The sequence below is a fragment of the Homo sapiens genome, chromosome 7 (assembly GCF_000001405.40).
Source record: "Homo sapiens chromosome 7, GRCh38.p14 Primary Assembly".
In the NCBI taxonomy this organism is placed as follows: Eukaryota; Metazoa; Chordata; class Mammalia; order Primates; family Hominidae; genus Homo; species Homo sapiens.
In genome coordinates this window covers 91,371,137-91,397,728 of record NC_000007.14, presented here as the reverse complement: position 1 = coordinate 91,397,728, position 26,592 = coordinate 91,371,137, and the positions used below count along the sequence as shown (strand labels likewise).

At 40.9% G+C, this 26,592-nt stretch overlaps 2 long non-coding RNA genes across 5 annotated transcripts in view; one reads left to right on the top strand and one right to left on the bottom strand.

Moving 5' to 3' along the window:
- The window catches only part of LINC02932 (long intergenic non-protein coding RNA 2932), a 204,101-nt gene that overhangs the window by 117,697 nt on the left and 59,812 nt on the right, over positions 1–26,592 (bottom strand). The window lies entirely within an intron of this gene.
- LOC101927473 (uncharacterized) lies at positions 16,866–22,758 on the top strand. Of its 3 annotated transcripts, XR_001744963.2 has the most exons (4): positions 16,866–16,984; positions 21,520–21,666; positions 22,332–22,443; positions 22,542–22,758. It is a non-coding gene; the product is annotated as an uncharacterized LOC101927473 (long non-coding RNA). The 3 variants fall into 3 exon arrangements; XR_001744964.2 differs by lacking the exon at positions 22,332–22,443 and having other exon boundaries at positions 21,612–21,666; XR_001744962.2 differs by lacking the exon at positions 22,332–22,443.

Sequence of the window (26,592 nt, the reverse complement as noted above, 5' to 3'; positions counted from 1 at the left end):
TGTCCACCAATTGTGAAAAGATATTTGTGGGGTCAGGAGAGAGTTCAATGCAAAGAACTCCATTCTTCCCTTCTCCCAGGGTGAGGATAACACCATAAATGTGCTTTCCAGAGGCACATTTTTAGCACTGTCTCTGGATAAGTTTAATTAGAGAGAAGAGACTATCATGAAAAACTTTTATTCAGTGACCTAGAACCAAAGAAAATGAGAATGACCAGAAAAGGGACAGTTGGTATTCAGTTATTTGATTCTTGTTCTTGTTGGCTTTTTGGATCCTCTCCTCTGTCGACTTTTCCATGGATGCACTTTTACATGCTGCAGAACTGAGTTTCCACCTATTTTCTGTAACCATCTTATGTAAACGCAGTTTCAGCCAGAAGCAAGTAAGTCTTTTGGAATTTGTGGACAGGGTGGGGGAGCAGAGGGAAGTTTTCTCTAGGCCACCTGTTAGGAAATGTTGTGTTTCATGTGTGGGAGAGAAGGCCCAGTTCTGAGCCAGCCTTCTGGATGTTTCTGTACAAAATCACTCTAGTTAATCAAAATTCTATGAGGAATTACTTCCTAGTTGTGGCTGGGATCTGTGTATCTTTCATAGAGTCAGAGATGTAATATGTCCAGAGATCTAAACAGTTACCTTGTCCAGTGGTCCTGAGTTATTGCACTGGGACACATTGGTGGGTCATGATTGGGTGTGCACAAAATGCCAAAGTTTTTGCACATCAGAAGAGATTACAAACTATCCCTATATTAATGTAACCTTCATTTCCATTGCATTCTGACATGTTTTCTTGACTAGTAGGCAAAGAGAATGTGCCAGGGATAGCACCTACAGCCTGTGTATGTCTGTATTCACAACCTGAGATTGTGAACAACATCTATCGTGTGATATGGAGGAATGAAGGCTGAGAACCACGATCACCATCAATGGATGGCTGCCATGTGTCCATAGGTTGGCTGGCAGTGGTCTAAACTCTGCTGCAGCAGTTGTGATTCTCCTTCCACTGAAGGGCATGTTCCCAGAGATCTAACCCACAGCCTACAATTTGGAACTTTTACAGAGTGGTGGGTAGTAGCAGAGGCTGTCTTCCCTCTGTCCTTCAGTCCTTAGACAAGAAAGAGGACTACATTGTTTATTAAGCAGATTATAAACTGTATATCTCAACCCTGTCTTTAGGAGAAGGTTCCATTAGCTGTCACCACTTTCCCTAAGTCACTGTAGTAAGGCAAATTCTGTTGTATACCACCTCTTATGTTTACATAGACATAATGAAGAGAATTGTCCAATTAATCATTCTTAGTGTACTCGGAAAATTAAGACCCACATATTCCCCTTATAAGCAGGCTTATTGATGAAAATTTTATTTTAATTTGTAAATAGCATATCAGGTTAGAAATTCCATTTCTGTTTTCTTAATAAAAATTACAATTTCTGTCTCTTGACAAAAGACCTGCTAATGCTCCACTTCTAGTTCAGGGATAATTTAAAATAAAATAACACAAGCATAATAGAGACATACATACAAAACAAACAAAACAAAAAAGCTCATTTTACTCTTTGTATCAGATGACATCAGTACACCTTTTTTTTCCACACACTTCACTTTATAGTTTTAGCCTTCAATTCATTTGTACTTACAAGGGCAAGGTGTGGGAATTTAAAAATTTATTTTAGAATATAAGGTAGCTGAATAAATAGGGGCTACCCATTGAATAAAAATGGATTCACCTCCCAGCAACGACCTATTACATGTTTCACTGTACATTCGATTATCAATCGTTCATTTTAAACCCCTGCAATAAATCAGATTTCCAGATGACGATGGTGATGGTGATTCTGCATTGCAGGCAGCATATTACTTCTCCCTTTGTACATCAAGAGTGTTTACATTTAGAGCTTAGAAGCTAAAACCAGTGTAGTTATGTTATAAATTTTTGTTTGACAGTCAAAATAATGCACTATATTCAAAAACTATGACTTGTGGTTTCACGAAGCACTGTCTCATGTACTGTCTTCTTTGGACCTTACAAAAGCCCATTAAAAAAGATTGCTAGACAAATTAGGTATCATCCATGCAATAGAATATTTTGCAAACACCAAAACAGGATCAGGGTGAAGTGGAATAATTCCATATTGTTAATTTTTTTTTAAAAAAAAAGCAGTTTCAGAACAACACGTACAGTGTGATTCCATTTTTTATTTAAAAAAATCACAAAAATGAGGGGGAGGAGCCAAGATGGCCAAATAGGAACAGCTCCGGTCTACAGCTCCCATCGTGAGCGACGCAGAAGACGGGTGATTTCTGCATTTCCATCTGACATACCAGGTTCATCTCACTAGGGAGTGCCAGACAGTGGGCACAGGTCAGTGGGTGCGCACACCCTGCGCAAGCCGAAGCAGGGCGAGGCATTGCCTCACTCGGGAAGCACAAGGGGTCAGGGAGTTCCCTTTCCTAGTCAAAGAAAGGGGTGACAGACGGCACCTGGAAAATCGGGTCACTCCCACACAAATACTGCGCTTCTCTGACGGGCTTAAGAAAACGGCACACCAGGAGATTATACCCTACACCTGGCTCAGAGGGTCCTATGCCCACGGAGTCTCGCTGATTGCTAGCACAGCAGTCTGAGATCAAACTGCAAGGCGGCAGCGAGGCTGGGGGAGGGGCGCCCGCCATTGCCCAGGCTTACTTAGGTAAACAAAGCAGCCAGGAAGCTCAAACTGGGTGGAGCCCACCACAGCTCAAGGAGGCCTGCCTGCCTCTGTAGGCTCCACCTCTGGGGGCAGGGCACAGACAAACAAAAAGGCAGCAGTAACCTCTAAAGACTTAAATGTCCCTGTCTGACAGCTTTGAAGAGAGCAGTGGTTCTCCCAGCATGCAGCTGGAGATCTGAGAATGGGCAGACTGCCTCCTCAAGTGGGTCCCTGACCCCTGACCCCTGAGCAGCCTAACTGGGACGCACCCCCCAGTAGGGGCAGACTGACACCTCACAGGGCCAGGTACTCCAACAGACCTGCAGCTGAGGGTCCTATCTGTTAGAAGGAAAACTAACAAACAGAAAGGACATCCACACCAAAAACCCATCTGTACATCACCATCATCAAAGACCAAAAGCAGATAAAACCACAACGATGGGGAAAAAACAGAGCAGAAAAACTGGAAACTCTAAAAAGCAGAGCGCCTCTCCTCCTCCAAAGGAACGCAGTTCCTCACCAGCAATGGAACAAAGCTGGATGGAGAATGACTTTGATGAGCTGAGAGAAGAAGGCTTCAGACGATCAAATTACTCCGAGCTATGGGAGGACATTCAAACCAAAGGCAGAGAAGTTGAAAACTGAAAAAAATTTAGAAGAATGTATAACTAGAATAACCAATACAGAGAAGTGCTTAAAGGAGATGATGGAGCTGAAAACCAAGGCTCGAGAACTACGTGAAGAATGCAGAAGCCTCAGGAGCCGATGTGATCAACTGGAAGAAAGGGTATCAGCAATGGAAGATGAAATGAATGAAATGAAGCGAGAAGGGAAGTTTAGAGAAAAAAGAATAAAAAGAAATTAGCAAAGCCTCCAAGAAATATGGGACTATGTGAAAAGACCAAATCTACGTCTGATTGTTGTACCTGAAAGTGACGGGCAGAATGGAACCAAGCTGGAAAACACTCTGCAGGATATTATCCAGGAGAACTTCCCCAATCTAGCAAGGCAGGCCAACATTCAGATTCAGGAAATACAGAGAATGCCGCAAAGATACTCCTCGAGAAGAGCAACTCCAAGACACATAATTGTCAGATTCACCAAAGCTGAAATGAAGGAAAAAGTGTTAAGGGCAGCCAGAGACAAAGGTCAGGTTACCCACAAACGGAAGCCCATCAGACTACCAGCGGATCTCTTGGCAGAAACTCTACAAGCCAGAAGAGAGTGGGGGCCAATATTCAACATTCTGAAAGAAAAGAATTTTCAACCCAGAATTTCATATCCAGCCAAACTAAGCTTCATAAGTGAAGGAGAAATAAAATACTTTACAGACAAGCAAATGATGAGAGATTTTGTCACCACCAGGCCTGCCCTAAAAGAGCTCCTGAAGGAAGCACTAAACATGGAAAGGAACAACTGGTACCAGCCGCTGCAAAATCATGCCAAAATGTAAAGACTATCGAGACTAGGAAGAAACTGCATCAACTAATGAGCAAAATCACCAGCTAACCTCATAATGACAGGATCAAATTCACACATAACAATATTAACTTTAAATGTAAATGGACTAAATGCTCCAATTAAAAGACACAGACTGGCAAATTGGATAAAGAGTCAAGACCCATCACTGTGCTGTATTCAGGAAACCCATCTCACGGGCAGAGACACATATAGGTTCAAAATAAAAGGATGGAAGAAGATCTACCAAGCAAACGGAAAAAAAAAAAAAAGGCAGGGGTTGCAATCCTAGTCTCGGATAAAACAGACTTTAAACCAACAAAGATCAAAAGAGATAAAGAAGGCCATTACATAATGGTAAAGGGATCAATTCAACAAGAAGAGTTAACTATCCTAAATATATATGCACCCAATAAAGGAGCACCCAGATTCATAAAGCAAGTCCTGAGTGACCTACAAAGAGACTTAGACTCCCACACATTAATAATGGGAGACTTTAACACCCCACTGTCAACATTAGACAGATCAACGAGACAGAAAGTCAACAAGGATACCCAGGAATTGAACTCAGCTCTGCACCAAGTGGACCTAATAGACATCTACAGAACTCTCCACCCCAAATCAACAGAATACACATTCTTTTCAGCACCACACCACACCTATTCCAAAACTGACCACATACTTGGAAGTAAAGCTCTCCTCAGCAAATGTAAAAGAACAGAAATTATAACAAACTATCTCTAAGACCACAGTGCAATCAAACTAGAACTCAGGATTAAGAATCTCACTCAAAACCGCTCAACTACATGGAAACTGAACAACCTGCTCCTGAATGACTACTGGGTACATAACGAAATGAAGGCAGAAATAAAGATGTTCTTTGAAACCAATGAGAACAAAGACACAACATACCAGAATCTCTGGGACACATTCAAAGCAGTGTGTAGAGGGAAATTTATAGCACTAAATGCCCACAAGAGAAAGCAGGAAAGATCCAAAATTGACACCCTAACATCACAATTAAAAGTACTAGAAAAGCAAGAGCAAACACATTCAAAAGCTAGCAGAAGGCAAGAAATAACTAAAATCAGAGCAGAAATGAAGGAAATAGAGACACAAAAAACCCTTCAAAAAATTAATGAATCCAGGAGCTGGTTTTTTGAAAGGATCAACAAAATTGATAAACCGCTAGAAAGACTAATAAGGAAAAAAAGAGAGAAGAATCAAATAGACGCAATAAAAAATGATAAAGGGGATATCACCACCGATCCCACAGAAATACAAACTACCATCAGAGAATACTACAAACACCTCTATGCAAATAAACTAGAAAATCTAGAAGAAATGGATAAATTCCTTGACACATACACTCTCCCAAGACTACACCAGGAAGAAGTTGAATCACTGAATAGACCAATAACAGGAGCTGAAATTGTGGCAATAATCAATAGCTTACAAACCAAAAAGAGTCCAGGACAAGATGGATTCACAGCCGAATTCTACCAGAGGTACAAGGAGAAACTGGTACCATTCCTTCTGAAACTATTCCAATCAATAGAAAAAGAGGGAATCCTCCCTAACTCATTTTATGAGGCCAGCATCATCCTGATATCAAAGCCAGGCAGAGACACAACAAAAAAAGAGAATTTTAGACCAATATCCTTGATGAACATTGATGCAAAAATCCTCAATAAAATACTGGCAAACTGAATCCAGCAGCACATCGAAAAGCTTATCCACCATGATCAAGTGGGCTTCATCCCTCGGATGCAAGACTGGTTCAATATACACAAATCAATAAATGTAATCCAGCATATAAACAGAACCAAAGACAAAAACCACATGATTATCTCAATAGATGCAGAAAAGGCCTTTGACAAAATTCAACAGCGCTTCATGCTGAAAACTCTCAATAAATTAGGTATTGATGGGATGCATTTCAAAATAATAAGAGCTATCTATGACAAACCCACAGCCAATATCATACTGAATGGGCAAAAACTGGAAGCATTCCCTTTGAAAACTGGCTCAAGACAGGGATGCCCACTCTCACCACTCCTGTTCAACATAGTGTTGGAAGTCTGGCCAGGGCAATTAGGCAGGAGAAGGAAATAAAGGGTATTCAATTAGGAAAAGAGGAAGTCAAATTGTCCCTGTTTGCAGACGACATGATTGTATATCTAGAAAACCCTATTGTCTCAGCCCAAAATCTCCTTAAGCTGATGAGCAACTTCAGCAAAGTCTCAGGATACAAAATCAATGTACAAAAATCACAAGCATTCTTATACACCAATAACAGACAAACAGAGAGCCAAATCATGAGTGAACTCCCATTCACAATTGCTTCAAAGAGAATAAAATACCTAGGAATCCACCTTACAAAGGATGTGAAGGACCTCTTCAAGGAGAACTACAAACCACTGCTCAAGGAAATAAAAGAGGATACAAACAAATGGAAGAACATTCCATTCTTATGGGTAGGAAGAATCAATATCGTGAAAATGGCCATACTGCCCAAGGTAATTTACAGATTCAATGCCATCCCCATCAAGCTACCAATGACTTTCTTCACAGAATTGGAAAAAACTACTTTAAAGTTCATATGGAACCAAAAAAGAGCCCGCATCACCAAGTCAATCCTAAGCCAAAAAAACAAAGCTGGAGGCATCACACTACCTGACTTCAAACTATACTACAAGGCTACAGTAACCAAAACAGCATGGTACTGGTACCAAAACAGAGATATAGATCAATGGAACAGAACAGAGCCCTCAGAAATAACGCCACATATCTACAACTATCTGATCTTTGACAAACCTGAGAAAAACAAGCAATGGGGAAAGGATTCCTTATTTAATAAATGGTGCTGGGAAAACTGGCTAGCCATATGTAGAAAGCTGAAACTGGATCCCTTCCTTACACCTTATACAAAAATCAATTCAAGATGGATTAAAGACTTAAACGTTAGACCTAAAGCCATAAAAACCCTAGAAGAAAACCTAGGCATTACCATTCAGGACATAGGCATGGGCAAGGACTTCATTTCTAAAACACCAAAAGCAATGGCAACAAAAGCCAAAAGGGATCTAATTAAACTAAACAGCTTCTGCACAGCAAAAGAAACTACCGTCAGAGTGAACAGGCAACCTACAAAATGGGAGAAAATTTTTGCAACCTACTCATCTGACAAAGGGCTAATATCCAGAATCTACAATGAACTCAAAGAAATTTACAAGAAAAAAACAACCCCATCAACAAGTGGACGAAGGATATGAACAGACACTTCTCAAAGGAAGACATTTTTGCAGCCAAAAAACACATGAAAAAATGCTCACCATCACTGGCCATCAGAGAAATGCAAATCAAAACCACAATGAGATACCATCTCACACCAGTTAGAATGGCAATCATTAAAAAGTCAGGAAACAACAGGTGCTGGAGAGGATGTGGGGAAATAGGAACACTTTTACACTGTTGGTGGGACTGTAAACTAGTTCAACCATTGTGGAAGTCAGCGTGGTGATTCCTCAGGGATCTAGAACTAGAAATACCATTTGACCCAGCCATCCCATTACTGGGTATATACTCAAAGGACTATAAATCATGCTGCTATAAAGACACATGCACACGTATGTTTATTGCGGCATTATTCACAATAGCAAAGACTTGGAACCAACCCAAACGTCCAACAATGATAGACTGGATTAAGAAAATGTGGCACATATACACCACGGAATACTATGCAGCCATAAAAAATGATGAGTTCATGTCCTTTGTAGGGACATGGATGAAATTGGAAATCATCATTCTCAGTAAACTATCGCAAGAACAAAAAACCAAACACCGCATATTCTCACTCATAGGTGGGAATTGAACAATGAGAACACATGGACACAGGAAGGGGAACATCACACTCTGGGGACTGTTGTGGGGTGGGGGGAGGGGGGAGGGATAGCATTGGGAGATATACCTAATGCTAGACGACGAGTTAGTGGGTGCAGCGCAGCAGCATGGCACATGTATACATATGTAACTAACCTGCACATTGTGCACATGTACCCTAAAACTTAAAGTATAATAATAATAAATTTAAAAAAAATAAAAAATAAATAAAAAATCACAAAAATAGAAATTTTGCATATTTATATAATTGTGAATTTATATGAGCCTAGAAAGATATGAATCAAGCTTTGGGATGGTATTGTTGTGCTAGAAAGGGGGAAGTACCACTTCTTATTTTTATTTAATTTAATTAATTAATTAATTTATTTATTTGAGTCAGAACCTCTCTCTGTCACCCAGGCTGCAGTACCATGGCACTATCTTGACTCACTGCAACCTCCACCTCCCAGGTTCAAGCAATTCTTGTGCCTCAGCCTCCCAAGTAGCTGGGACTACAAATTTGAGCCACCACACCTGGCTAATTTTTTTTATTTTTAGTAGAGATGGGGTTTCACCATGTTGGCCAGGTTGATCTCGAACTCCTGGCCTCAAGTGATCCTCCTGTCTTAGCCTTCCAAAGTGCTAGGATTACAGGTGTGAGCCACTGTGCCTGCCCCAGTGCCACTTCTTTTTATGTATACATATATGCTTCAAAAAGTGCAGTGGAATGATGGGCAATTTAACTTTTTTATTTTTATTTTTTCCATTTTTCAAATAACTTTCAAAAGTATTACCTTCCTTTTGAGGATGAAAAAGCAAGTCTAAGAAATTTTAAATGACTCTTGAAAAGTCATACAGCTTCCCTGTCTCTACTAAAAATACAAAAATAAAATTAGCCAGGTATGGTGGCGGGCAACTGTGGTCCCAGCTACTCGGGAGGCTGAGGCAGGAGAATGGCGTGAACCCGGGAGGCGGAGGTTGCAGTGAGCCGAGATTGCACCACTGCACTCCAGTCTGGGTGACAGAGCGAGACTCCATCTCAAAGAAAAAAAAAAAAAAGAGAAGTCATACAGCTTAATCCTAGAATCCAGTCCTCCTGATTCTCCAGCAACAGCTTCGGCCACTATATCCCAACAAAAGAGCATTTGAACAGGAAACGAGGTTGGAGAAGAATCATGAGCTTCAAACCCTACCCTTTGGTATGCTATCACCTCGAGATTTCTTGGTCTACAGCAGTGGTGCTTTAGCATAGTTAGCATATAAAAATATAAAATTTGCTAAATGCTTGTATTTTCTCTTTCTGGGAATAAGACAGCCTAGCTGACTGAGTCTCCAGATGGAAATTCATAAATTGTGTTTCTACCCTACTCATACATGTTGGGTGAGCCACTGAACACTGTATCTCAGTTTCCTCACCTGTGAAAATATTGTGCTGACCTATTTTTTCAGGATAGCTGGGTGGGCTGCTTCATGATTTAAAACTTCTTTGAAAATACAAAGCTCCATTGAAATTGTTTGTCAAGCATTCTTCCCGGCTTACACCTTCCTTCCTTCTCATGACCCTCTCTGGAATATAAGCCCTGTAGTCTTGGTGTTTTTCTACATCTGATCTAAAAGTCTACAAAATCAAGCAGCAACTTCTGCTTTGGAAATGTGTCCTCTGGTATTTGGTTGAAATGTGACTGGATTTAACAAAGTATTATTTTTCTCAAACATTAATGTAAAAGTGTGTGTGCATGTGTGTGTGTGTGTACTCATAATGTGCATGTCCATGTGTTTAGCACAGTCAGATAGAAGACCACTGGGCCTGGACACTTTCCCTGGCTTCATCTGGCATTGTGAGGCTTAACATCACCTGGACAGTGGGAAGTAGAGGCACATCCTATGGGTGTGGGGAGTAGAAACTGTTTTCTGTCTTCCTCCAGGCACTTTCGCTGCCTGTCCCATGATTGCCCTCTGTGCCAGTCTGTGGGGAAGTGGAGGCCAAGTATTAATAAAGCAATATGGGCATAAGAAGAAAGAGATCAGTGGAGTGAAGTCAAGTATTTTCATGAGCTACTATAATCAACTAAAATATTGTTGTGTGAAAGCAAAATCCTCCACCAAGAAGAGAGATCTTCGTCATTTCACCCTACCTCAAACCCTGATCAGGCCCAGGGGAGGAACAAGAAGGGGATGTGGGTTGTCACATTATAGGCCCACACCCGTAGGACACTTAAATGCAGGTATGAAAGGGACCCAGGGAAGCCTAACCTTTTAAGTTACAGCTGAGATCCTCTTTGATTGCTCCCTTTTCTTTCATATTTGGATATGTTCACAATTTTCTCAATGTTGATTTTAAGTTTTGGGTTAGTAAAAATGTCTTTCTCCATATACATTACACTTTCTTTGGGCCATAAACATCTTGTAACTCTTCCAATACCTACAATAGTGCTGTGTGCATAGCAGGCAAATCAGAATACCTGATAAAAATAGTTCTAGATGCTGTCTAGTGTGTGTCGAATGCACTGTGAATCTGGGATTGTATCTCAGACTCCTGCCAGCTTACTATGGCAATGTGTATGTTTTTCTTTTAGTGGGCTCTCTTTGGTTAATGATCAAAATCACTCTGATGTTCCCTAACACGCTCATGAAGATCCCACAAACATATTTTAAGAAAAAGATAATTTATTCTTCTTCTCTGACAGGCTCCAAGACTGTGGTTTCTTACATTTTTGAGGAAGAAAGGAATCTCCATGGTCTTGTAGCCCAGTCACTCCCCAGGTTTCTACGGTCCCCCCTCTACTTCTCCATGAGGTGGGCTCCCAGTGTCTGGCTGAAGCTTTTCAGGGAGAGAGAGCACAGTCCCTTCCAAGACAGCCCTTTTCCTCTTTGAACAGCTCTGTTGGATAGAAAGATATCCACCACATTGAGTGGAAATAGATCTACCCTGGAGTTCTGCCTCATGTGACCATGGAGAATTAGCCTAATCTCTTTTGAAGACAACTCTCATGTGTCTTTCCATTTTATAAGCTATCTCCAAGTCTTCTCTCATCCTAGCAAAACAGCCTGGCTTCCTTCTGGCAAACAGCTCCTTGGCTGCTGCAGGTGTCATGACTTGTGGGACAGAGATGAAATCCTGCAGTTCCCAGAAACCCAGAGCAGGCCTGTTTTATGGAAGAAACATGAACACTCTTCTCCTTTTTCCTTGATGGGCCCATGCCCAGTACTATTGCTGAGGGTGGGCACTCAGGGTGTGTGCTCAGGCAGGAAAACCTTCCTTCTGACAATCTGAATGTGCCCTGGTGGACAGGCCAGTGCCTGCTTCACCCTGCTCCTTCTCTGAGGCATGGGTAAGACTGAAGCTTGGGATGACAGGAGAGAGACACTAATGTCCCAACCTCTCCCTATACCACAGCCCTTATCCTGGGAGCTCATAATTCAGAGGATAAGGAGAGGCACATTTTTCTCTAATGTAAGAACTAAGATTAATTTAACTAGTAAGAGTAATTACAAGTCTTCTAAATGTTTCTGGTTTTGGTACACATTATGGTGAGAAACTATCACATTCTTCATCAGTAGGGAGGATCACAAATGACCAAGAAAACAAACTCGGACTGAATAAAGCCATGCTAGTGGGAGTTTTGCTTTTGGCTTTGTTTTAAAGTTAGGCATAAAATTATGGACTACAGAGATGAAAACAACTAATCATGTTACAAATCCCTTAACTAATGAAGGCAAAATAATTACATAATATGTTCTGTTCTCCTTGGGCTCAAGTGGCAAAAGTTTTGAGTTGGGACAGTTTGTGTAAGACCAGGATATGCACGTTCAAATGTACTTTACATGAACTATCCTGTAATCTCTGATTCTGGGGAAAACACGTTGAAAATTATCTAAAGATGGAGATACCTAGGGCAGGAAACTAAGGTGCCAGCTTGAAATATTCAGTCAATCTGGTTCATCTGTCTGCTCACTAGCCTCTCAGGTTGAATCACTATCTAGGTCCTGACTGTGTTCCTTGCCAGTAAAGTCAGGTAAGTTGGAATCGTTAAAAAGTTTTCAATCTGCCCCATTTGGGTACATTTGCATTAATTGGGTTTCCAACTATAAGAATAACTGGTGCTGGGCATGGTGGCACACACCTGTAATCCCAGCACTTTGGGAGGCCAAGGAGGGTGTATTACTTGAGGTCAGGAGTTCAAGACCAGACTGGGCAACATGGTGAAAGCACATCTCTCCATAAATTGCTTGAGCCTGGGATGTCAAGGCTATAGTGAGCCAAGATCATGCCACCAGCTTGGGTAACAAAATGAGAGCCTGTTTAAAACAAAAAGAAAAATGACATCCAACATACACACATACACACACACAAACACACACCAAATAAGACCCAAAAGTATGGTGTAAGGTCTTTTTCCTATGGGTAAGATGGGTGGGGGGCATGGAATTAGCTATGAAAACCTGGTGTGCTAACTACTGGAACAGAGGGTACTGAAGCACACTGGGGAGAGGAGGAGGAAGGGAGGCTAGTGTGACGAGGGTGAGATGGAAGGCTTCAGGATAGACCGAGGCCTTAAGCTCAATCTTGAAAGACAAATAGGAGTTAGCCTGATGGTTGAAGTAAAGAAAGGCATTAAGAGCAGAGGGAACATCACATGAAAAGGCACTGTCAACGAGATAGGAGGAAAATCAGCAAGGAGGAGTAGCACAGGAAAGCTAGGAAGAACAGATGATTAACAATGCCAAATGACAAGGGATCAAGTAAAATCAGGATTTAAAAGTGTTTCCTGGCTGCTAGGGTGACCTGAGGCTCCCATCCCTGCACACTAGCTTACTGCAGTTGGAGTATCCATTACCTGGAATCACAGAGAGTTGGAAGAGACCATAAAGGCCTCAGTCTCAATATGAGAGCCTCTCTATGGCCTTCTGATGAGGGCCTTGAATCTAAGCTTGATTACTTCCAGAGCTAGGAAGTTCCACCTAATCTCATGGTCAGGCCAACTTTAGTGGTTAACAAGTTCTTTACACCAGATAGTTGCTGGGGCCTAATATTTGAGAATAGATATCCCAGATGATGTATCCACCTGTTAGAACTGTTCTCCCCTCATCTTGGGCCCACGGTACCCAATAGTCAAAAAAGCTACCATTAAAGACCACACATTATGTGCCAGACATTGGGGCTATATCAGAAGATTATGTATGTTTTCTCATTTAATCCTCCCAGTGACCCTATTAAAGTAGGAATATAGATACAGTTATTTTGTTTTTGCAAACCACAGAAATTGATTCAGCTAGCTTAAGCAAAAACACAATCTATCAGAAGAAAATGAGGAGGCTCATAGAATAAAAGAAGCTGAACAACTAGGCCCCAAGAAGGAGGCAGCAACTTCGAAACTCAGGAAATTCAGGCCACAGGAACTGGTGAAATTGATGGACACCTCTTTATAATGCCATCCTCAGAAGGAATAAACTTCAACTACTTTTCATCCTTGGGTCACTCTGCTTAAGATTAAAATCCTAGGGAGGAAAAGCTTGACTGTCCATGGTAGATAAGTCATCTTGATTGACACTGAGGCTCTATTTGACTTGGGAGAAATTAAGATGCTTCTACTAAAGCAGGAAGAGGAAATGCTGAGTAGACAGAAACAACAGATGTCCATTAAGACAGGTGAGGTTATCCCCATTGTACAGATCAGGAAACTGCAGCTCAGAGAAGCCAAGCAACTTACCCAAGTTTACACAGACAATAAATGACAGGGCCAGGGTTTCAACTTAGACCTGCCTAACTCTAAAGCCTGGGTGCCTTCCATTCCTCCTTGCTGCCTGTTTGCCTAAACTGCATATGGACGTTGCCTTTGGAGTCAAGCCATGCCTGGTAGGCTGAAACTCTACTGTCAGTCCAAGAGCTAGGTCAGTCTCCTCAACTCCCATCCCAGTTGCCAGTGGGAGGCTCCACAAACAGTTTCCTGTCCTGCCACAGAAGCCTATCTTGCTGTGAGGAAACAGCCATGCTCTGAGGCCCTACTGGGAGACAAGAGAATATTAAACCACAGCCTGTCTTTCCAATGTCTATTCATTGACCCTGTGTTGCCCTTGAGAGCAACACACAATACTCCCTTCTCCACATGCTAACCTTCCAAATATTTGAAAAGAGGGATCTGTCCCTCTTTCCAGATCTTCTCTTTGCAAAGCTAAATATTCCTGTTCCTTTAACGATTCCTCATACTACTATCCCATATGACCACATGGGGATAATTTCCATATGTCGGCTAATTCTCCAAGACTTACATCAGATGAGAATCTGGCCCCGTATGAAAAGAAACTATTTCCCCTCGCTTTCTCTTTCTGATTCATTAGATTTCACATAAACCTTTCTGATGATGACCTGCTGTTTTCAAACTCAGCTGCAACCCACTATGACTCAATAGGCAAAATTCTCATTCTTCAGTTTTCGTTTATCATTTCCCACCAATCCAAGGCCCCAGCGAGCACCCTTCAGGGGCTACAGCCCATGGGCAATATGTGTCTGTGAAAAATGCCAAGTTTTGATCCTTTGCCATTTTTTAGTTTATATAAAGTCATATGACTTTTAAAAATCAAAGCTTTTGCTCAATGTAAATAATTTAAAGTTTGAACAGCTGTAATCATATTCTTCAAAGAAAACACCCTGAAAGGTGGTTAAGGGTGTTATGTGCCAGATCCTCCCCCTAAAATCTCTTTAATTGTTCTTTTCATGAAAAAGAGAGAGTGCGAATAGAGGTTTGAACAATGTTTTGAGGTTTTGAGCATTTGCAAGGTATTACTTCATGAAGACATTAGTTGTGCTGTTTCTGAAACAAAGTGTCTGATTATGTAAATAGTTATGGAACCTCAAAGTTTGAGTTGGAAGAAAGGAGGAAAAAGAAGAGTTGCACATGTAGGGAAAGAAGTCTAGGATTTTTCTGTTCAGAATCTTTCAGCTAGGCAACTCCAAAAACTGCAGCTGGAACATTCTAGAATTAAATAGGTACTGGAAGTTGGACTACATGAATCCATGTCGAAGGCTCAGCATGTGACTCAGACACAGTAAAATATTCCCGTCGTTTTGCTCTTCAGAACATGATTCAAAGTCTACCATTTACGTTCTGTCTGTCATAGACAAGGAACTGAACTCAAACAGAGGAACTTATTGTTTGGGCTCTGCCACCAAAAGCTATGTATCTTTGAACAAATTACTATTCAACTTTGAAAACCCCTTCCATAAAACTGTTGGTCAGTGACCATCTCTCCAGAGAGAAGATCTTTAAGAGTGAATCTGTGGTAAGAGGAAGGTAAGAAGAGAGAGCAGTTTCTATTGCTATATTGCATTGTTCTACCTGGAATAGAGTCTCTCCAGTCCTCTGCTTGACTGGATTTAGGATGCTCAGGCTGAAGAATGAATTGCTTAATGGAGTTGGTAGCTTCTGTGGTCACTAGCCATCAGGTGTACAGAACTGTAGAATCACAGAATTGGAAGGTTCACTAGACGTCATCTGATACAAAAACATTTGCCTAATGAAAAGATGTCTCCACATTGACTAGTTGCAGTGGCTTATGCCTATAATCCCAGCCCTTTGGGAGGCCGAGATGGGAAGATGGCTTGAGCCCAGGAGTTCAAGGTTACAGTGAGCTATCATTGTGCCACTGCACTCTAGCCTAGATGAGAGAGTGAGACTTGAAAAATAAAAATCTCTCCACAAGACCACTGAGTAGTGATGTCTGAAATGGCGGCTACCTGAACACAGGAATGGAGCTCTTGCCACCTTTCAAAGCAGCTTATTCTGTTCTGGGATGGCTGTAGATGTTATACCATTTCTATATTGAACTGACATCCACCACCTTTTTGTCTTGGATATACCCTCTTGAACCACAGAGAATAATATCTACAACGTTCCTAAACTTCCCAATTTCCTTCAAATGTTCTTCATGTGGCATCCCCAGACCCTTTGCTTCCCTGGTCACCTTTTTAGTGCATACCTCATTTTGTTTCAATTCCTTGTGCATAATTTGAATCTAGCCCTTCTACTGGGCGAACAATGCAGATTTGTGGAAGTCTAGACTATGAAGCCAAGTGCTATATTTGTCTTTTTCCACTAACAATTTGTAAGGGCTGAAATGTTGTAGGTACCCCCACAATATTTATTGAATGAGTTGTTTTTGTTTGTTTGATTTTTTGAGACAGAGTCTTGCTCCGTCACCCAGGCTGTAGTGCGGTGGTGCGATCTTGGCTCACTGCAACCTCAGCCTCCTGGGTTCAAGCAATTCTCATGCCTCAGGCTCCAGAGTAGCTGGAACTACAGGTGTGCACCACCACATCCAACTAATTTTTGTATTTTAGTAGAGACGGGGTTTCACCATGTTGGCCAGGCTGGTCTTGAACTCCTGGCCTTAAGCGATTCTCCTGCCTCTGCCTCCCAAAGTGCTGGGGTTACAGGTGTGAGCCACTGCACCCAGCCTAAATGAGTGAGTCTTTAACCTTCCCTCTGGTTGACTTGGGTAGAACTCCAAGGAATATGAAAGTCAATTCTTCTAATAGATGGTAAATGAAGCCCTTTGGATTTGAATAAAGAGAATGGTTCTCTCTCTCTTTCTCTTGACTTCACTCTCTCTTGCTCTCTCCTGCTCTCTCTCTCTCTCTCATCCTCCCAGGAAGAGACAGATTAGACTTATTGGGAGGCTGGTAAGTTATGCTTTAATATGTTAAGCTAGGTGGAAACACCATTACTAGAAAATAATTTAGACCTTGGGCACCTTGGACTCAACATGTGTTGTACTGATGTTTTCCAGTGCCTTGGTGATTCATACAACTTTCTGGGATCTTTTGATTAACAGAGAAAAAGTCATAAGATCAGCAAGAAGAGAAACTGTAGATTTGCCTCAACTCAACATGTTAAGTAATCGCCTGACATCTACATAAGACCACCTCTTGGCACCTGGCTACACAAGCTGAAATGGGTAATTCACTAATTACTTGGGTGTGTACTCCTTTAAATGAGTTGTGGAATGGGTGAATATTTGGGGGACTCCACTGGAGTGAAACACAGCTGTTGAATTATTTATGTTTGAATTATTTACGTTCACTTGAAAACCACGGAACACAAAAGTCCTGTGATTCCACCTCAGCATTTCCAGCCTCCATGGACAGATTTTGGCTGGTGCTTGAGATCCAGGTCCTGTCTCTAGCAGGCCCAGTTGCAAGGTATGACTTAACTCTCTGTAAAGGGCTGTTGATTGGCAGGCACCTCTCTTTGAGGACAAGAAAATAATCTAATAGGATTTATTATTCCTCTGAATACTTCCAGTTTTAGTGCAATTAAATTAATGTGAACATATTTTTCTGTGGTGCTCTCTTGCACTAGGCTCTCGCATGCTGTGTGTGTGTGTGTGTGTGTGTGTGTGTGTGTGTTGGGGGGAGGGGGCATGTGCACTTTGTTTCATTTTATATTTTCATAAATAGCCAGGAGACTGAAGAGGGCATGGACAATCAGAACTCTAGTTCTTGGCAAGGAATTACAAAGTGAAGGAAATCAGCTTTAAAAGCTTTTTTGGCCCCTCACATTATTACTAAGCAAAACCTAACAAGGATATGAGGAAGGAAACGAGGCAGTATACTTTTCAAGGAAACTAACCTGAAACTATTTAGAGACATGCTATCTACAGTTTCTATTAAAACAAACAAACAAACAAACAAACAAAGTTCTCAATACATTCCTTTCCTCCTAAGGTTTAAAATAATCCTTAAAGCCAATATAATTACAGCATTTACTTCCAGTCCACATCCATTTTGTTAGCCCTCTCCAATCTCAACCTTGCATATCCTTCATCCCTAGAAACCACCTCATTTTAACTGAAAAAATAAAAAAACTGTAAAACAAAAGCAAAGACTCGTAATGATATATGGTTTTAATTCTTAGCAAAGACAAACAGTTCGTTACAGATGAGCATAAATTAAATGACTAACAACAAAATCTGTGCTTTACTTGGTGATCCTGGGTTGACCTTTTCCTAAGATGTACTTCTGTTGTGGTCCCTGGGAAGAAATACCTATTGAGGGACAGGATTCTGACTGTAAAGAAATGATTATAATTCACAGAGCAGATTAAATATTCACAAACAAGCTATTCATTTCTCCTAAACTTCCCAGCCAAAACCCCACTAGACTATACTTTCACAACTCCTGCATAAGGATTTCACTAACAGTTCAGGCTATCTTCTTTCCAGTTCCCACTGTACCTATTGCTGACTGTTGGAATTCTCCACCACTAAGCGTGGGCAGTCTGACTCACTCTAGGGTCTGAGAATAGGGGCCTCCACATCGTGAAGTTCAATGCTTCTGAAAAATAAGGAACATTAGACAGTGTAACCACACCAGTTAAATAAAGACCCTAGGCAAAATCATGCTGGGGAAACCTTCCAGATTTTAGTGAGGACTTGCTGATTGCAAGTTTTCTTTCTTTCTTTTCTTTCTTTCTTTTTCTTTTTTTTTCTGAGACAGAGTCTTGCTCTGTTGCCCAGGCTGGAGTGCAGTGGCTCGATCTCAGCTCACTGCAACCTCTGCCCCCTGGGCTCAATGGATTCTCCTACCTCAGCCTCCCAAGTAGCTGGGACTACAGGTGCACACCACCATGGCTGGCTAATTTTTGTATTTTTAGTAAAGATGGGGTTTCACCATGTTGGCCAGGCTGGTCTCAACCTCCTGACCTCAGGTGATCCACCTGCCTCAGCCTCCCAAAGTGCTGGGATTACAGGCATGAGCCACTGCACCTGGCCAGTTTTCATTTTTGCTTCTATTCAAAAAAAGATTTAGTGTAAGGTATTTATTTATATGTGGCTTCTTGACTTTCTAAGTGATTATTGAAAAGTATGCAGTGTGAAGACCTTAATCCCAAACTCTCTCTCTCTACAGCATCAGATTATTACAATTTTGGGTGCTCAGAGGACAAGCAGAGGGCAGAGCACTCCAGTGTAATATTATTTACTTGTTTATAGGTCTGTCTTCCCCCACTCAGCAGGAAACTCTATCAAAGTCAAGAACTGTGCCCTTTGCATCTTTTTATCCCCACTGCCTTGTTTGATGCCTGGTACGCAGCCAATAAATATTTGTCAAATTAATCCGTGAAGGTAAATTGAAAGCACACCATTAGTGTTAATTGGCAAGACCTTCTGTGGGCAAGTAAATGTGCCCACTAAGCCCTGGTAACCACAGTGTCTTTTGAGGCCCAACATTAAGCCCTTTTTCATTTTTATTGCCAAGCACAGAGCCTAAGAAGGCCTCAGTTTGATTTCCATATTTGGATCATGCTGAGTGCAGACCCCAGTTCTATAATCCATTTCTTTCTGAGGCTGTTGGCATCTCTGGAGTTGGGAAGTAACATCTGCTTCAGTGAGCTGATTACCCAATGAGAAAAAAGAGGTAAAGGCCAGCGTTAGGTGGGGTCTGACTTAGCTTCAAAGCAGGCATATGGCATGTATCTTAATGAGAATTTGCATATTCAGGAAAGACACATCTGAAGGGCAAATTAACTGGTTCAAGACACAGCACATAAATACAATGCGGCTGATCAGATTGCCCCTAGTTGAGGGTGCGCTGTCTCTTAAAAGCCTTCATATTTATTTTTCCCTTTCAGTTCCCACTGCATCACTCTGGTTGGTGTGCTCGTTTACCTCAACTCTGGATTACTGTAGTGGCTCTTCCTATGGTCTGTCTTTGCTGGATGTCTCTTTGTACCAAATCCTGCTCCTCAAACTAGAATGTTAATCTCTCTAAATCCAAGGCTCAAATACCAAGGCTTCATTTGCCTTGGTTTGCTCAGAAAGCTTGGCTCAAAATCAAGACTTTCATTTGCTAAAAAACCAGGGCTTCCCTTCTTTTCCTGGCACTCAAGTATTTCCTTGAGGATCTGGTCTTAATCTGCATTTCCATGCTACCTCACTACCGAGTTCCAATCCATCTCTCCATCCCACCAGGCTGGTCCATTCATTCATGCAGGGCTTCCTGATTCCTTTCTGCTTTCTTTATTTGTCCTAATTGCATACAAAGTCCTATTTACATTGCTTCTGCCCACCTATTCAGGTTCAGTTCTCGTCTACTCCACAAAGCCTTCTGTTGTCATTCTAGTCATCACCAACAGTTCCTTATCTGAACAACTATAGAACTATAGGACATTGGGAGGGAACTAATATGTATCTATGTTTTAAGAATCTTTTGGTTCAAACATTATTCAGTAGGTTAAAAGCATAGGTTCTTTTGAAATTTCAATGTCAGCTCACAGACTTTCCAATGTGGGGACCTCCTGTGATGCAGAGAACACATCCCCAGTCTAATGAGATAAGACAGGTGTGCTCTGTCCACTTCATGTCTTTTGTCCCTTTTAAAAATAACAACGTATTAGAGTTATGTCTAGAGGAGTGAGCAGGATCAGTCAGAGAAAGGTTTTAGTTTTAAGACAATTCTACTCTGAACCATGAGAAGATCCAAGTTAAAAAAAAAATTGTTGATTTGGATCTGAATGGTGACAGCTTGTGGGGTTGGCTGGTTAGAGTATAAGGCATAGTGGCAGAATGAAACTGAATTATCCAAGAAGAGGAGGGAATCCCAGGAAAGAAGGTGTTCCCAGGCATCCATACAAGGCAGAAACATAGAAACACAGCAGAAGGTGGCTTGTGGAGAATGAGAATGGCAACAAAATCTGCCCTATCTTTTGAACTCTATATGGATTTCTGAGCAGTTATGAGTTAGATTAAGTTATTTCTGGTGATGGACTGATCATGTATCCATTTGCAGGAGATGCAGAGAATAAGAGCAAGGATCCATCAGCCTGTAAGGGACTAGATCAAGGGGCCCTGCCAGAGAGATTCTCCTGTGGGAGTAGGAGGAGACCGTGGTGGTTGTGGTGGTGGTAGAGATGAATATGACATCAGGAGGAAATCTACCTGATTGGTTCATGTAGCCAACAGAAGGGAAGACCATTTTATCTAATGTCAGCTACATAAATTTTACTAACAATGCCTAGAATGAAACAGCTTCCAAAGTGCTAGATTTAAACCTAAAGACTGAAACCTGCCACTTATTCCACAAACACTCCTGGCAGTTATAATTTGTAAGACTTTGTTTTTTAGAACATGTTTTTCAAACATTTTTGGTTACCTGTGGTAAAAAATATCCTATACAGGCTGTTTCATGGAAAAAAATCACATTTACTGAGGATAAAATACAAGGCATTTTGATTTTTTTTCTAATTTGTTCTGGTCTTTTTTATTTAAAAAATGCTGGCCAAGACCTACTAAATTGACTTGATGACCCACTAATTTAAAAAACTATGTTAGAACAAGCAGGCCTGGCTGACCTCTAGACTAGAAGACAAAAGCTGAGAGAGACCCAGCAAACCCTGCTTCTGAGAGATTGCCAGGGGTACTATTAATGGAAGATTATAAAGGTCTCTTTTAACTTTTAAACTTCATCTTTTATTGCTTTGACCCTGTTGTTGCAGTAAAACTCCTTGAGAAACCACACAAGGATGGAATACTTGCTTAGAGACATGAGAGTAGCCTAGAATCTAAGAATCTGTACTTCCTTCTACAGTTGTCTTTGGAAAAAGAATAGACATTCATGGCAGACCAAAGATCACTCTCTGAAGGTAGGACCATGTTTTTATATCCCCTTCAGCACCCAACATGGTGCCTCGCATGAGGAAAATGCTCAATATAATGGTTAATTACATATTTTGAGATTCATACATCCTGGAAGAGCATCTTGCAACTTTTAACAGGTGTTCCCCCTTTTAATAAACATGTACTCACATTGCTGACTATATAATCCCAGATTCTGATCCAGGACCTTTCACCTGTCTATGCCTCCATTTATGATTACCTGCTCTAGAAGATGAATAGAAAAGGAAATGAGCATTTGTTTTTTAAAAACTATTAAGCTCCAGGCACATGGCAAAATGTATCTCATTTAAATCATGCAGCAATTTTATGAGATAGGAATTATTTAAGTAACCAGTTAAGATAAAGTAACCAGAGCGGTATGAGGTTAAAAGACTTGACCAAGGCCACAGAGCTAGGACATGGCAGAGCCAGGACTTGAATTGCCACATCTGGATGATTCTGAAGGCTACATTCTTCGCATGCCTTCAGAGTGGGTCTTACATGGAAGTAGGCCTTTCAGAGCTTCCTAGAATGGATACTAATCTGGGCTCAAGTGTTAGCTCTTTCAAAACTCTCTTTGTATTGATCAGCCTCTTTGGATCTCAGTTTTTTCACATGATCTGAAATGTGAATCATGCCCTTCTCACAACAGAACAACTGTGAAGATGAAATGAAGTAATAATTTAAATGAATTATAAAGAAAGACCATTTTATAAATGTGAGATGCCATGTAATGCCTTGACTTCCTTGACTTACTATAAGGGGTAAGGATAAATGTGATAACTTTTTAAATTACTTGGCATCCTACCTGAAAAATTATATATGCTCAATAAGTGTTCATTTTCTTTTCTTCTTCCTTAAGGTGTTATGTGAGAAATCCACACAGGAGAAACCCAAGAAAACCACGCAGGTAAATGCTAGCCTGGAAAGACAGAGGGAAAACATGCCAAGTGGAGCCCACCACAAGGACAGCAGTCAGAGCCCAAGAGCCCAGCTTTAAAAGGCATGTATTCACTGATGTGCTTTAAAATCTGTAATAAACTGCAGTATACTCTGGTAGTGAGGAAGAGTTGAGGCACCTGGAGAACTGGAAGACTATTTGAAGAAGATGATGATACCTACTGATCACATGAGTCAAGACTTTGGAGTCTTGTCTGCGGATTACATGAGTGGCCTCCAATGGTGAAGATTTGAATTCAAGGTTGCCAAGCAACAATTTCAGAAGGGGCCTCCTTGCCTTTAGAAAATAAATGGGAAACTGGCTCAAGCTGCCTTTGTATCTATCTGTCTTGGGTAGCCTCAGCAGTATGCATTAGCTTGGGGGAGGAGTAAGAAAATAGGAGATAGTTTTATTCCTATTTGAATTAACCCATTTATGCCAGAGGTCTCAAATTTTTTTTGTGTGAAAAATCAGACCTTGGCAATGACCTTGAGCAGAAGGATATAAATAACTCCCACAAGCTTAGCATTCCAATAATGGAACACTAGGCATACATGGGTTAAGGTTCATTAATATTTAACTGCTTTCCAGTGTCTGTGTCAATAGGTATCATCAGCTTCTTCAAATAGACTTCCAGTTCTCCAAGAGCCTCAACTCTTCCTTCCTTACTACCAGTGTATACTATACTTTATTACAGATTTTAAAATTAGATTCTCCTGATCACCTGGAAGTCAGACGAACCAGGGAACAAGGACTTGCTTTTTCAAATCCTCTTTCTTTTCCAGCATTTCTGCCCTAGCTGCTGGATTTCCAAGCTAATCACCTACAAGTTACACTTCTTTTTCCTGTCACTTCATCTCACGTGCATTTCGTGGGCATCTTACTCTATTTATGCGGCTTTGTCCCCCAATGTATAGGGAAGCTCTGCTTGAGGGTGTTGCTAAAGAAAATTCCCAGCCGTAGCTCACAGGAAACAGGAGAGAAGGAATCTTCAAGTCACTGCCAAGGCCCAATTTCAGGATGGATAAAAAGAACATTTTCCTGGTGTTGGTGACTTGGATCTTCTGCCACTGAAAATGTCATGGGCAAGGCTAGGAAGATCTTAAGGTAGTTCTCAGGGTTGTGAAAATCAAGTGAGCTACTAGAAGTAAACATGCTTTATAAATTATGAAATGTTTCACAAATGCAAGGGAGTATTTGTGTCAGAGGCTGGAGGGCCTAAGATTCACCTCTCCTCCCTTCCATGTTCTGACTGATAGAGAATAGGTATAAAGATAACAGGCCAAAGGGAAGAAGTATAGACTTTGCTATGGGTAGAAAAAATACCCACATCCCTCAAAATGCAGAGTCTACTAACGTCTGGATTAGAGAACACAGCTTGGAACTGAGGCCAACATGAAATCTTTCTAATACGCTCCTGAACCCAAGCCATAGTATCTCCCTTACAGGTTGACTGCATCTGAGAAACAGGCTCCAAATCCATTTACCCAATTAGCTGTGGGCCTGGGAGTGGAAAGGAGCTCAACAGCTGTGGTACCCAGATGGCTCACAGCTAAAACCAGAACCCATGGACTACATAAGCCTTGACCAGTCAGCCCACTCTTTCTCCAACTGGGAGGGGGGAATTAGATGAGTAAAGAGAGAGGCCCCCAACAATACCCAAGGGAAGAGAGGTCAGAATGCCAATGGAAATGGGGTTGGCGGGGGATAAATTTCTCTCTTTCTCAATACTTCCTGTGGGGGATGATGATATCATAATTTAAATTTCCTGTGCAAAGCAAAGAAACTCATAATTATTTTGGGTAACTGACTTCTCTTTTCCATCCTGGTCTTTCAGTTTCCCTCCCTATATTTGGTTCACTGTGAGTAGTTAGGAACTGTGTTGTCGGCAAAAGCCCAAATTCAGAATCAAGGGTAATAAAGGAGATCAAGAAGCTCCTGATGAATGAGTTAAAAGCAAGAGAAGAATGCATTTCAACAAGTTGTTTGAGAGAGTTATGCTTACTCAATACACATCTGCTTACAGTAACAACATATATGTAGAGTTATTTCAAAACCTCATTCTTGAAATTCATGTTAAAAATAATTTTGTTATGGACTTACATTTAATAGCTGTAACCCCTTTTTCCTATTGAAACAATTGTTTTTGTAACAGATTTTCTCAGGGAGGCAATTATCATATTGTAAAATACAGACTATAATTTTTCTCCAAATATCTGCTAAGTATCTGGCATATGCTGCACAACATGAGATATCCAGAATTGAATAAGATATGATGCATTTTCTAAGGAGCCACTATGAGAGGCAATGAAAACAATAATAATATAAAATGAGCTAGATGTATAGAGTTATAATCAAAATGGAACTGAATACGTGCTCAGAGTGGGATCTATATATATAGTAATAGAGCGATTACTAGCTTGAGGAGCAGGGATAGGGAGAACTTTGGAAGGAGAGAGAAACTCAGGAAGGACTTTAGGGAGGAGGTGGCATTTTAACTGAGTCTTTGAAAGGTGGGTATTATTTAGACAATATAGAGGAAAGATAAGATGTAACAGACAAAGGGAGTAGTGAGAGAAAGACACTGGGTAGGTTGCAGATTAGAAAGAGAGAATAGCTACCGTTGACTAGATTACAGTGCTTGCCAAAGGGAGCAATGATAAAGAGAAAGCTGATTAGAGACGAAATAGAGGAGAGCTCTTCATGGCAGGCAAGGGATTTTGAATTCTGTTCTCCATGGTAGTGGGCCTTTATAACAAAGCCATGAGCAAACTGCAGGATGTCCTACCTGTTTGGTATGTATGAACCTTGGCTTTGTCTTCCAAAGAACTGGAGGTGGAGAGGGAGGCTATTTGGGAGGCTGTTCTAGTTTTCCAGCAGAAGTTGTTATTTGCCTGAGCTAGGACGGTGGCTGTGGGAACTGCAAGGAGAGGAAGAATGGCAAATGTCTTGCTCAGACAGAACCGATGGCATTTGATATACTTGATATTAACCTAGTGACAGCCAGGCCCGCTTGCTTTAACAGAGATTCCCCTCATCTTTGTAATTGGTATTTTTTTAAAATGAAGAATAAATATAAAATCATTTAGGTAAATACCAGCTGTCTTCAATCCACTGATTTCCAAGCACTGCCCCATTTTCAGAACTCAACAACACCTGAGCAACTTGCCCATGAGCTTCAAACCTGGTTCACATCAGCTTGCTGTCCCTTTTTCATTTATTTCATACATAGAGCTGCCATTTATAATTTCCTTTGCACAAAGGGTTCCATAGCTATAGAATAGTTTGAAAATCATAACTCATCCAAACTTTATAGATGAAGGGACTGGAAGGATACTGCAATTTCTGGACTCCAGGTCAGATCACAAAAGAAATAGATAATAAATCCCCTTTTCAATATGCTGAATTCCCAATTTCTCTTTCAATGTTGTAACCCTGCTGTGTCATTATTATTCTGTTTTTCATCCTGGCACAATATTAACATCAGAGCTTGATTATAGATTTATCAGTATTCAGATGTGGAAAAATCAATCATTTACGAAAAGAACACCAGTGTTAGATGAAAAGCTGCAGAGCCACTTCTGTGGAAAAGAAGTAGAGATTCTTGCCTGGGTGTTCTCTCTCTTGTTTCATAATTGCTGTGTAGTACCATTTTACTCAAATAGCTAATATTTCATTAACAACTCACATTATAGAGTCAGATTATTATGGATTTTCTGTTTGTGACAGGAAAGTTTGTTTTTCTTAACCAAAATAATTACAAGCCACGAATCCTCATGAGGGTAGAAGTTGTTGACATAATAAAAAGATAATTTAGAAATCCAAAAATGGGTCTGAAGGGTCAAAGTGAAAAGATAAGTAAAATGTGTTTTCCTTTTAATAAACTCATACTCCCTGAAGACATCTGAGAAATGCTAATAATAGCATACAAATTATTAAATTTCTAAAGAAGATTAATGGAGTGCAGCCTTGG